This window comes from Homo sapiens, chromosome 14 (assembly GCF_000001405.40).
Source record: "Homo sapiens chromosome 14, GRCh38.p14 Primary Assembly".
Lineage (NCBI taxonomy): Eukaryota > Metazoa > Chordata > Mammalia > Primates > Hominidae > Homo > Homo sapiens.
This window is the reverse complement of record NC_000014.9, coordinates 46,537,853-46,550,531: the sequence shown is the minus strand read 5'-3', so window position 1 is coordinate 46,550,531 and position 12,679 is coordinate 46,537,853. Positions and strand designations below refer to the sequence as shown.

The window sequence follows — 12,679 nt, the reverse complement described above, 5'->3', positions numbered from 1 at the left end:
TCACTCTGGCTACCTAATGTGTATAAAGACAATAACCACAAAGTAATAGAAATCAGTTTTAAGACAAAATCAGCCAATCTCTTCCCAAACACTGTAACTGAATCTAAGGTTCTTATTTGCTAACTCTCAGCTACTATTTCTCTATGTGTAAAATGAGGATCTCTAAAAAATTTTCAGTTCTAGCAGTCAGCTTTTTTCTTTTTCTACTTCAATTTAGCAATATTATGATTCAAAATAATGAGTTCCTCATTACATGCATAAACTTATATAAAATTAAATATTAATTTTGAGCTCCGCCCTTCACAGCCCTTAGCAATTGCAGGCACTAATTAAGGTAGAGCTTTATATTTTCTTTTTAGACCAGAGTTTTTGAATGATTTATATCAAGTATTTAGTCAATAATTCTCAGCTGTCATTAACAGTAATTAATTAATATTAAACAATACTAATTTAAGTAGCATTTTTCCACTAGATTTTAAGTTGAAGATAGGTGCTATGCTTGACTCCCGTATATCCTCAGCATTTAACAGTTCCTTATACTTAGAAATCACTCAGCAGGTAAGTTGAATAAATAAGTAAATGAATGAATGAATTGCTGTTCACTTGAATGAGGACAACCTATTTGGACCTCAGTCAAGTGGACAGAAATACATTTTTTTATTTGCTCAATCACTGTCACTACCGGGGAGAAGCTACACATCTCAGTTGACTCTCACCTTAGACTCAGCCTATTATTATTATTTTTTTTGACGGATAAAATTGTATATGTTTACTATGTATGTCATGAAGTTTTGAAGTATATATACACTGTAAAATGACAAAATCCAGCTAATTAACATATGTATTACCTCATATAGTTATTTTCATGCACGTCCGTGTGAAGAGACCACTAAACAGGCTTTGTGTGAGCAGCATAGCTGTTTATTTCACCTGGGTGCAGGCGGGCTGAGTCCAAAAAGAGAGTCAGCAAAGGGTGGTGGATTATCATTAGTTCTTAGAGGTTTTGGGATAGGTGGTGAAGTTAAGAGCAATGTTTTGCAGGCAGGGGTGGATCTCACAAAGTACATTCTCAAGGGTGGGGAGAATAACAAAGAACCTTCTTAAGGGTGGGGGAAATTATAAAGACCCTTCTTAAGGGTGGCAGAGATTACAAAGTACATTGATCAGTGAGGGTGGGGCAGAAACAAATCACAATGGTGGAATGTCATCAGTTAAGGTTATTTTTACTTCTTTTGTGGATCTTCAGTTACTTCAGGCCATCTGGATGTATACTTGCAAGTCACAGGGCATGCGATGGCTTGGCTTGGGCTCAGAGGCCTGACATTTCTGCCTTCTTATATTAATAAGAAAAATAAAACAAAATAATGTTGAAGTGTTGGGGCGGCGAAAATTTTTGGGGGGTGGTATGGAGAGAGAATGGGCGATGTTTCTCAGGGCTGCTTCAAGCGGGATTAGGGGCGGCGTGGGAACCTAGAGTGGGAGAGATTAAGCTGAAGGGAGATCTTGTGGTAAGGGGTGATATTGTGGGGATGTTAGAAGAAACATTTGTCATATGGAATGATTGGTGATGGCCTGGATACAGTTTTGTATGAATTGAAAAACTAAATGGAATAAGAGAAGGAGAAAAACAGGTATAAAAGGTCTAAGAATTGGGAGGACCGAGGACATCTAATTAGAGAGTGCCTAAGGAGGTTCAGCATAGTCCTGCCAGCAAAGATTATTTATTTACTTCAAGAGTTTAGAGTGGCAGTTTGGGGATAGCACCAGGAGATATCAGCTGTGATGGCTTGGAGAAACAGTGTAAACCGGCAGTGTAAACAAGAGCAGGGCATGTATGAGTAGTTGAGAACGGTGAATAGGAGTATGACTAGACAGAAGATAGGGATGACAAGTTTTTTTGGGACACAGTGTAAGTTGGTCTGGTGTCTGGAATGAGACTGGGGCCTAATAAAAAGGAGCGTCTACACAGGAGCTTAAATGGGCTGTACCTTGTAGCATTCTGAGGACAGGTCTGACTTCTGAGAAGCGAAAGTGGTAAAAGTATTGTCCAGTCCTTTTTAAGTTGGTGGCTGAGCTTGGCGAGGTGTGTTTTTAAAAGACCTTTAGTCCGTTCTACTTTTCTTGAAGAAGGAGGACCGTAAGGGATATAAAGGTTTCACTGAATACTAAGAGCCTGAAAAACTGCTTGGCTGATTTGACTAATAAAGGCTGGTCTGTTATCAGACTGTATAGAGGTGGGAAGGCTAAACTGAGGAATTATGTCTGACAGAAGGGAAGAAATGACTGCGGTGGTCTTCTCAGACCCTGTAGGAAAAGCCTTTACTTACTCAGTGAAAGTGTCTATTTAGACTAAGAGGTATTTTAGTTCCCTGACTCGGGGCTTGTTGAGTAAAGCTAATTTGCCAGTCCTGGGTGGGGGCAAATCCTCGAGCTTGATGTGTAGGGAAGGGAGGGGGGCCTGAATAATCCCTGAGGAGTAGTAGAACAGCAGATGGAACACTGAGAAGTTATTTCCTTGAGGATAGAGTTCCAAGATGGAAAGGAAATGAGAGGTTCTGAGAGGTGGGCTGGTGGCTTGTACTATAGCATAGCCTGCCTTTGCTGGTGTGTGGTGATTAGGCCTGGTGGAACTGCCATCAATAAATCAAGCGTGATCAGGGTGAGGAACAGGAAAGAAGGAAATATGGGGAAATGGGGTGAATATCAGGTGGATCAGAGAGATACAGTCATGGGGGTCAGGTGTATCAGGAATAATGTGCAAGGCCAGATTGAAGTCCGGGCCAGGAACAATGGTAATTGTGGGACTTAACAAAGAGTGAGTACAGCTGAAGGAGCTGGGGAGCAGAAAGTATATGCATCAGGTATGAGGAAGAAAATAGATTTTGGAAGTTATGAGAAATGTAGAGAGTGAGTTGAGCGTAGTTTGTGATTTTTAGGGCCTCTAAAAGTATTAAAGCAGCGGCAGCGGCTGCACGCAGACATGAGGGCTAGGCTAAAAGAGTATGATCAAGTTGTTTGGACAGAAAGGCTACAGGGTGTGGTCCTGGCTCTTGTGTAAGAATTCTGACCACCCTAAGCATGCCTAGGAAGGAAAGGAGTTGTTGTTTTGTAAGGGATTGAGGTTTGGGAGATTAATCAGACATGATCAGCAGGGAGAGCACGTGTGTTTGTATGAGAATAATGCCGAGATAGGTAACAGATGAGGATGAAATTTGGGCTTGACTGAAGTAATGGGGGCTGTCTGTGAAGCCTTGCGGCAGTACAGCCCGGGTAATTTGCTGAGCCTAATGGGTGTCAGGGTCAGTCCAAGTGAAAGCGAAGAGAGTCTGGGATGACGGGTGCAAAGGAATAGTAAAGAAAGCATGTTTGAGATCTAGAACAGAATAAAGGGTTGTGGAGGGAGGTATTGAGGATAGGAGAGTATATGGGTTTGGCACCATGGGGTGGATAGGCAAAACAATTTGGTTGATAAGGCATAGATCCTGAACTAACTTGTAAGGCTTGTCTGGTTTTAGGACAGGTAAAATGGGGGAACTCTGAGAGTTTATAGGCTTTAAAAGGCCATGCTGTAGCAGGCGAGTGATAACAGGCTTTAATCCTTTCAAAGTATGCTGTGGGATGGGATATTGGCATTGAGCGGGGTAAGGGTGATTAGGTTTTAATGAGATGGTAAGGGGTGCATGATCGGTCGCCAAGGAGGGAGTAGAGGTATCTTATACTTGTGGGTTAAGGTCGGGGGATAGAAGAGGAGGACACAAAGGAGGCTTTGGATTGGAAAGAAGGGCGGCAATGAGATGTAGCTGTAATCCAGGAATGGTCAGGGAAGCAGATAATTTAGTTAAAGTGTCTCGGCCTAATAAGGGAACTGGGCAGGTGGGGATAACTAAAAAGGAGTGCTTAAAAGAGTATTTTCTAAGTTGGCACCAGAGTTGGGGAGTTTTAAGAGGTTTAGAAGCCTGGCTGTCAATACCTACCACAGTTATGGAGGCAAGGGAAACAGGCCCTTGAAAAGAAGGTAATGTGGAGTTGGTAGCTTCCGTATTGATTAAGAAGGGGACGGACTTGCCCTCCACTGTGAGAGTTACCCAAAGCTCTGCATCTGTGATGGTCTACGGGGCTTCTGAGGCAATCGGGCAGCGTCAGTCTTCAGCCGCTAAGCCAAGGAGTCAGTCAGAGAGCCTTGGGCCAGAGTTCCACGGGCTCTGGGAGTGGCTGCCAGGTGAGTTGAACAGTCTGATTTCCAGTGGGGTCCCACACAGATGGGACATGGCTTAGGAGGAATCCTGGGCTGCAGGCATTCCTTGGCCTGGTGGTCAGATTTCTGGCACTTGTAGCAAGCTCTTGGGGGAGGAGGTTCTGGAGGAACGCCAGGTCAGTGCGGTTCAGGCGTTTGGAAGTTCTTGTGTGCTGGAGATGTGGCTGGGGTTTGTCTCACAGTGGAGGCAAGGAATTGCAACTTTTTTCTATTATTGTACACCTTGAAGGCAAGGTTAATTAAGTCCTGTTGTGGGGTTTGAGGGCCAGAATTTAATTTTTGGAGTTTTATTTAATGTCGGGGGCAGATTGGCTAATAAAATGTATTTTGAGAATAAGACGGCCTTTTGACCTTTTAGGGTCTAGGGCTGTAAAGCGTCTCAGGGTTGCTGCCAAACAAGTCATGAACTGGGCTGGATTTTTATATTTTATGAAAAAGAGCCTAAATGCTATCTGATTTGGGATAAAGAAAAAGGAGCATTAACCTTGACTATGCCTTTAGCTCCAGCCATCTTTTTAAGAGTAAATTGCTGGGCAGGTGGGGGAGGGCTAGTCACGGAACGAAACTGTAAGCGGGACCAGGTGTGAGGAGGGGAGGCGATAAAAAGATAATAGGGTGGAGGAGCCCAGGCTGAGGAAGAATTGAGACCTAGCTCAGCCTGGCGAGGAGGGGAGAGGTCAGATGGGTCTGTAGAAAAGGAAGATTAGAAAGACTCAGGGACACTTGAGGTTGGGACTGGGGGGACAGGAGGGAGGGAAAGAAGGAAGATTTGGGATGAGTTGCAGTGGGCACAGAGACTAGGAAGGGATTGATGTGTAAAAGAATGCCTGGACGTCAGGCACCTCAGATCATTTGCCCATTTTATGACAAGAATTATTTAGATCTTGTAGGATGGAAAAATTGAAAGTGCCGTTTTCCAGCTATTTGGAAGTACTGTTGAGTTTGTATTGGGGTCAAGCGGCATTGCAGAAAAAAATAAGACGATTAGATTTTAGGTCAGGTGAGAGTTGAAAAGGTTTTAAGTTCTTAAGAACACAGGCTAAGGGAGAAGAAGGAGGAATGGAAGGTGGAAGCTTGCCCATAGTGAAGGAGGCAAGCCCAGAGAAAAGAGTAGAGACACGGAGAAGGGGTGGGGGGTTCTTGCCCTCCATAAAAGCAGAGAAGGGGTTGGGGCACGGGAATAAGGGATTGGGGGTTCTTGCCCCCTAGAAAAGTGGGACTTGCTGCTAAGGGTGAAGGAGAAGGGGTTGTGAGGGGTTCTTGCCCCTGCCCCAGAAGAGCAGAGAAGGGGTAGAGACACGGAAAGAAGGGGTTGGGGTACCTGCCCCTCCCTCAGAAAAGTGGGACTTGCCGCTAAGGGTGAAGGACCAAGGCAGGCATCCCTGTGTGGTCTGACACGTCTGAAACGTGGGTGAATAATCAGAGAGGTGCCCCTGCAATGATTAAACACCTAGGGAAGGCTGCCTTCCCAGTCCGTGACCGGCGCCAGAGTTTTGGGTCCACGGATAAAACGTGTCTCCTTTTTCTCTACTAGAAAATGAAAGGAATTGAAATTAAGAGAAGGGAGAGATTGAAGTGTAGTGCCAAGATTGAAAGGAGAAAGAGGTTGAGAAATAGTGAGGGAGGTTGGAGAAGAGAGTAAAAAGAGGCTGCTTACCAGATTTGAAACTGGTGAGATGTTTCTTGGGCTGGTCAGTCTGAGGACCTGAGGTCATACATAGGTGGATCTTTCTCACGGAGCAAAGAGCAGGAGGACGGGGGATTGATCTCCCAAGTGGGGGGTCCCCTGATCCGAGTCATGGCACCAAATTTCATGCGTGTCCGTGTAAAGAGACCACCAAACAGGCTTTGTGTGAGCAACATGGCTGTTTATTTCACCTGGGTGCAGGCGGGCTGAGTCCGAAAAGAGAGTCAGCAAAGGGTGGTGGATTATCATTAGTTCTTAGAGGTTTTGGGATAGGTGGTGAAGTTAAGAGCAATGTTTTGCAGGCAGGGGTGGATCTCACAAAGTACATTCTCAAGGGTGGGGAGAATAACAAAGAACCTTCTTAAGGGTGGGGAAAATTATAAAGAAGCTTCTTAAGGGTGGCAGAGATTACAAAGTACATTGATCAGTGAGGGTGGGGCAGAAACAAATCACAATGGTGGAGTGTCATCAGTTAAGGTTATTTTTACTTCTTTTGTGGATCTTCAGTTACTTCAGGCCATCTGGATGTATACGTGCAAGTCACAGGGGATGTGATGGCTTGGCTTGGGATCAGAGACCTGACAGTTATCATCCTTGTGGTGAGAACACTTTACAACTACTTTCTTAACATTTATATTAACTATAGTCACTATGTTGTATAATAATTTTCCTGATTGTGTTTCTTCTATATAACTGAAGCCTTGTATTCTTTGATTCTGCCTATTTCTTTCTGTCTTCTTTACCCATGTGCTTGTGTTAAAATGCCCTTCCTCCCAAAAATGCACAGATGATCAGAACTCAGGTCAGTTGCAATCTAAAAACTCACATCAGTTGTAATCTACAAACTACGGGCTACTGGGCCATCTTATAAAGTAGAATGCTCATGTTTTGCAACTGTGTGTCTGCTTTTTAAACTGGATTAGTATGCCAGGTAAAAATATAAACCTAAGGATATATGTTTGATTCCATATTAATAAATAATTTTTTCATATGATGTTTCAACATATAGGGATATTTTTTAAAGTTGTATATGATTTGATACATGTTTTATATTTGCACAGTATTAACTCTAATGTAAAAGTAGAATTTACGTTATTTATTTTATGATTAAATTTCCAAAGTCCTTAGACCATCACTTTCTTGCAGATGTTTCCCAGATCTCTGTCTAGTTCTACACTGTAGTCCAATATACTAATTTTCAGCTGGCTGTTTCTGCTTGACTTCTGCTCTTGGGCCATGGCAGTTCTCCTGGGTATAGGTGTATGCTTACCTTACCGACTGGTACAAGTTAAAAAGAATTCAAATATTTTTCTATTACTTTATCTTTCCCAAAGCACATTCTATTTGATCCTCACAAAAATTCTGTGAGCTAACTTATTCCTACTTAGAGGAGGAAATTAACATGAGGAAAATAAAACTTAGGTGGCTTCTTTGAGGTTACATAGATAATCCAATGACTGACGTCCTTATAAGAAGGCTGTGCAAAAACACAGTCACACACAGCAGGAAAACAGCTAGTTGAAGGTGGAAGCAGAGACTGAAATGATGCAGCTACAAACCAAGGAAACCAAAGGATTGCTGGCAATCACCAGCGGCTAGGAAGAGGCAAGAAAGGATTCTTCCCTGGAACTTTCAGAGAAAACATACCGTGTTAAAATCTTAATTTCAGACTCCTTGCTTCTAGAATTATGAAAGAATAAATTTCTATTGTTGTAAGCCACCCAATTTAAGCTAATTTGTTATGTCAGCCCTTTGAAACGAATACAGGCGATTTCTTCTTTCACTTCACAAAAGTATTACATATTCAAAAGAAAGCATCACAACCATACTGAGATGCATACACTGAACAGTAAACTAGGCTCATTCACTATCAGAAGGACGTGATTCAAAACGTTAGGTTCAAAACAAATCTGAATTCATGACTTAAACGTAGGATAACCTTTCACACATCCTAAATATAATTAATTTCTATAGCATGGATGTTAAATCCATAGACCCATTATTTTTCAAAGAATTATAAGCCTTATTATAACTCAATAATCTGTGTGACTTCCATGATTACAGAGAACTGAATCTTTGGTTTCTCAGTGTAGCTTTAGCTCTGAAAATTCTCTAATTATATTATATTATAAAACTAATAATTTTACTACCAATGGGGTATCAGTATCTCTAAGAAAATAAATCAGTCATAATCATGATCATTACTCATATGCTGAATGACAGCATATTTTAATTGTTCTTTTGATAACAAATTATCAGAGTTCACAATAAATGTTTCCCCTTTCAGATAGTCTAATTTTTTTTAAAAACGGTCAAGGCATGATCAATTATTTACTTCATATTTAATTTAGGTTCATGATCTTTAAGGATCATGAACTTTAAATTTAATAATTTTTATTTCAAGTCACATAAATTAAAAATTAAAACGTATTTAAATAGTCATTAAAGAGGTCTCTGAATATAGTCTCATTATTTATATATTTTTTAAAAATAAGGAATACCTTTTTCAAAAATTCTTGAGGATAAATGACCATTAAATTAATTATGTGGTAAAAATTTACTTCTGTTTTTGTAAAAGTTAAAACTGAAGGTCATTATCTCAACAGAACTTTATTACTTTCTTCTAGAAGGAAACAAATGGGCCTACTGAGGACTGACAAGGGCACCATACAAAGTCAAGGGCATTAGAATTGCCAAAGAGTGAAATAATTCTTTCAAAGTATGCATGGGAGACATTAATGTTGCAAAATAACCATAGAAGGAGTTGATTATTTTACAAGTAACTGAGGGTGAGAACCACCTCTGTGATAAAGGAGAAATATGAAGCATATGCATACATACAGGATTTGGGAGGATTTAATCTTGGGATAACAAAACAAAAGAAGAGTGCCTTATCTTCTAACACTATTTTTATTTAAATGAAATCATTACATTCTGGCCAAAAAGTGTTTATGCAAATATTTTGAAAAGAAGAAAGAGAAGTGGTTAATCATGAAATAATACCAATAAAGTAAAAGTAACATAAAAAAATCATTACTATGAAGAAAATTAGATGACACTCAGAAAACATGCCGAGAGAAAACATAAAAGTTAAATATTAGGTTTAAATCATGAGGATAATTAAGTAAATACTGGACTAATGATCAACAAGAGAAGACTACTCTGAAAACAGCCACATGATATTACACTTGTTCCCTTTTTTATTGGATTTGAAAAGCAGTGTGTACTGTTGTGAACATTTCACGCCTGAATTTTCTCAAAGTTGTTGGCAAATACAGTCATGTGTCACTTAATGACAGGTATAAGTTTTATGAAATGCATTTTAGGTGATTTTGATATTGTGCAAACATCATAAAGAGTGCTTGTACAAACCTAGCTATACCATATAGTCTACTACACCCTAGGCTATATGGTATAGCTGTTGTAATCTTATGGAACCACTGTTGTATATGTGGTTCATCATTGACAGAATCATTGTTAAGAAGCATATGACTGTACTTAGGAATAGGTGGAGACTCATAACCTAAATGCTAATATATTACAGAAATCAGTTTTTACTTAACCCGGCCCTAGGGTTCTAATAAAAACAGATAACCTCTACCCTGTTACATTAGCCTTATATTTTTAATGTTTTTTCAAAGTTTTGAATAGCTATATAAAATATATAATTATTAAAATTCAGAAATTCAGATGTCTCAAATATAGAAAAGACCAAGTGTGGAACCAAAGGAAATTTCTTATGACTGTGTCCTAAAAAAGAAAAATCACTAGCCATTTTGGGTCAGAGATTTCTGTGAGCCATTTAAATTGATAGATTTATGTGAGTCACCAAAGAGCAAATGGATTTTTGGACTGCATAATCAAAAGACTATATCTAAAAACGTATATATAATTGCCTCCACTTACCATTGAATACACCACTTTTATATTTCAATACTGAAGAGATGGTCTTACTGTTCTCCTCAGCTTAAATAAACATTACATAGGTTTTCTCCTGACTAAAGGTCTATGGCCTCTCTTTTCTTGGAGCATTTACTTCAAAAAACTTGTATTTGTAAATTTGTTCTTTGCCCCTTTGAGACATAAATCTTTTCATAACCTCTGGACAGTTTTACAACCCAGTAATGTCCTTCTTAAGGATCTGGGAGCCATCCCTTTGAAAGATAATCATCAAGGAAGATACTGCCACTAACTCCCAGTCTTTGGGGTAGCATAGTAGCCTAACTTTGATAAATGCCAATTAGCAAATTCAAATGGACTAATCACATTGACCAACCTCCTACCTAACATCCTATTTTTATACCAGTTCACCTCAGTTCTTAAAGATTCTCCCACCTTTTGTTTAAAGCAGTATTGAGTTCAATCTCTGTCTCCCTTTGAAATAGTCTTGAATAAAGACTTCTTACCTGTTTAACTTGTCTTATGCAAGTTTTCCTTGACAAAAGCTCTAGGAACTACATATCAAAAAATCTATGAACAAACTTTTAAAGATTCAGAAGACAAACAAAAACGTAATGAAAAAGCTAAAACTAAAGTAACATTGAAGAGAATGAGTGTCTCTTCCTAGCTTGTGATAGCCATTTAGTATTGGCTTAACTTGAGGAAGTGCAATCTCATCAGATCAATTCTGACTTGTTTCTAAACATTTATCACCCTCTGGATGCTGAGAGTATAATTTAGAACTGTTATCTTTAACAGCCTTCACACTATCTAGAATAATCATTGGAAACCAATGTGTCCCAAGAGAGGCCTTCATTCTTAATCCACTTATTAAAAAAAAAAAAAAAACAGAAACAAAACAAAATGAAAAACTAAAACAGGAGGCGTTTTTCTTGCTTTTTAGTTTTGTGCTCCAATTGGGAATAATGCTCTGCCTTCAAACTAACTCTGTGTCCTGCCACTCCCTTCCCACACAGGAAGTAAATGTACTCCTTTAGACACCCCACATTCTTCTGAAAATCTACTTATTTCTGACTATTTAGAACCAAAATGTTGTAGGCATGCCTAACGTTCAGTATTATCTGGGGGCTTAATCTTTTATTCTTGGCATATAATCTAATCACTCCCCAGATTACATTATGTTCCAGAAACTGGTAACTTTGTTACTCATTCATCAAAACAAAGTTCCTTTTTCTGTGTTAGGCAACATATTTCAACCTCCATTGCAGTTTGATGTAGTCTTGTGACTAGCTCCTGCCAATGAAATACAAATGAAATGATGTGTACCACCTCTAGGCCAAGGTTTTTAGAACTTGAGTGGTCTTTGTATATCAAGAGATCATAGTTGTGGGTGAGGCCAATAAATTGTTTCTTCATTCAAAGGTCTTTGCACCATGAAGAACCACAGCTGATCTCAATAGAGAAGACTGTATGACCCTGATATGCTGGGGTTTGAACTGAATGGTGTAAAAGGAGAAATTGGATTGTGTCTCTTGTAAAAGGGATATAAGTGTGTTGTATATGCAAGGATGTAACAAGGATCCAATGCAAATGAATCCAAATGGATAATTTCTGAGTAGGAAGTCTTATGGCTAACTGTTCGCTGAAAATATTTCTCTCTTCTCTTAGGCATAGAGCTATGCTATTATTGCAGCTTCTCTTGTAGTTCACTGTGGCCATGCAGTTTATTCTCACCAATGGAAAGTAAATTAGAGTGATGTGCATTATTTCAAGACCAAAGCTTTTATGGCATTTAAGTTCCCCTTCAATGCTCTTTTACCCTTTTGACTGGCTTAGATGGAGAATACAAGACAAAACTGGAAGACTTTATTGAAGATGGCAGTCTCCTTCAGCATGTATCCCTAAAGACTACATGAAAGAGAGATGACTCACTAATCTATTTACCTTCCCAGGAATATTATGAGGGAAATGAACTACTGTTTTCTAAACCTTTATGTGTTTTGGGTCTCTGCTATAGCAATTAGTGTTACTCCAGTGGTTCTCAACAGGGAGCAATTTTGTCCCCCAAAGGGTATTTCACAATATCTGGGGAAATGTTTGGTTGTCACAGCTTGGAGGTGAGGGCTGCTGGCATTTTGTGGGTAGAAGTCAGGGATGCTATACATCCTACAAGGAATAGGAAACTCCTCCCTCATTAAAGAATTCTTCCACCCAACACGTCAATAAAGCTAAAATCTTTCTTAACTAATAACAATCATTGTTTCATAAATTGATGTTATGCTGCATCTGGGGCAAACGTGCTATGTCCCTTTGGAGAAATTTCTTAGACAACTCATCTTACAACAAGATGTCTTATTATGGATATTTGTGTACTTCTGAACATTGTTCAAATTGTGGCACATCAATAATATCTAAATGCCGTAAGGGATGGCATCCATACAATGTCATTTAAAAGGCAAGTGAGTATACTTGAACAATGGAGAAGGTTCACTGTCATTAGAAAAACAGTAGGAAGTTAATATTCTATTGTCCTCAGTTAAATCTCTGAAGGATCTAATCTAATTTAACAGACTAAATATACACTCATGGCTTTGTAAAGCCAATATGAAATAATTTCTTTGAAAGGTAACAGCAGTTTTTTAAGGTAGAGATTGACAAGGATTATCAGTGCAACGATGTAAAAGATATGAGGAAAAAGGAGAGAGAAAGCATGAGGTTGATGGAGCTGTGTAATGCAGTGATTAAAAATGGAAAGATCTAGTTCAAAATATGGGGGGTGGTGTAGTTAGTGGAAAAAAATGAGTTGGGCATTTTTAGGTTCTGTCTGATTCAGATTC

General features: G+C 39.3%; 1 long non-coding RNA gene across 7 annotated transcripts in view; it reads left to right on the top strand.

Annotated features, from left to right (window-relative positions):
• The window catches only part of LOC124903309 (uncharacterized), a 98,633-nt gene that overhangs the window by 35,122 nt on the left and 50,832 nt on the right, over nt 1-12,679 (top strand). For 6 of the 7 annotated variants that reach the window (XR_007064146.1, XR_007064143.1, XR_007064144.1 and 3 more), the window contains one exon: nt 6,450-6,541. The exons of the other annotated variant lie outside the window; for it this stretch is intronic. This is a non-coding gene — a long non-coding RNA (uncharacterized LOC124903309). The remainder of the gene's footprint in view (nt 1-6,449; nt 6,542-12,679) is intronic. 7 annotated transcript variants of the gene reach the window in all.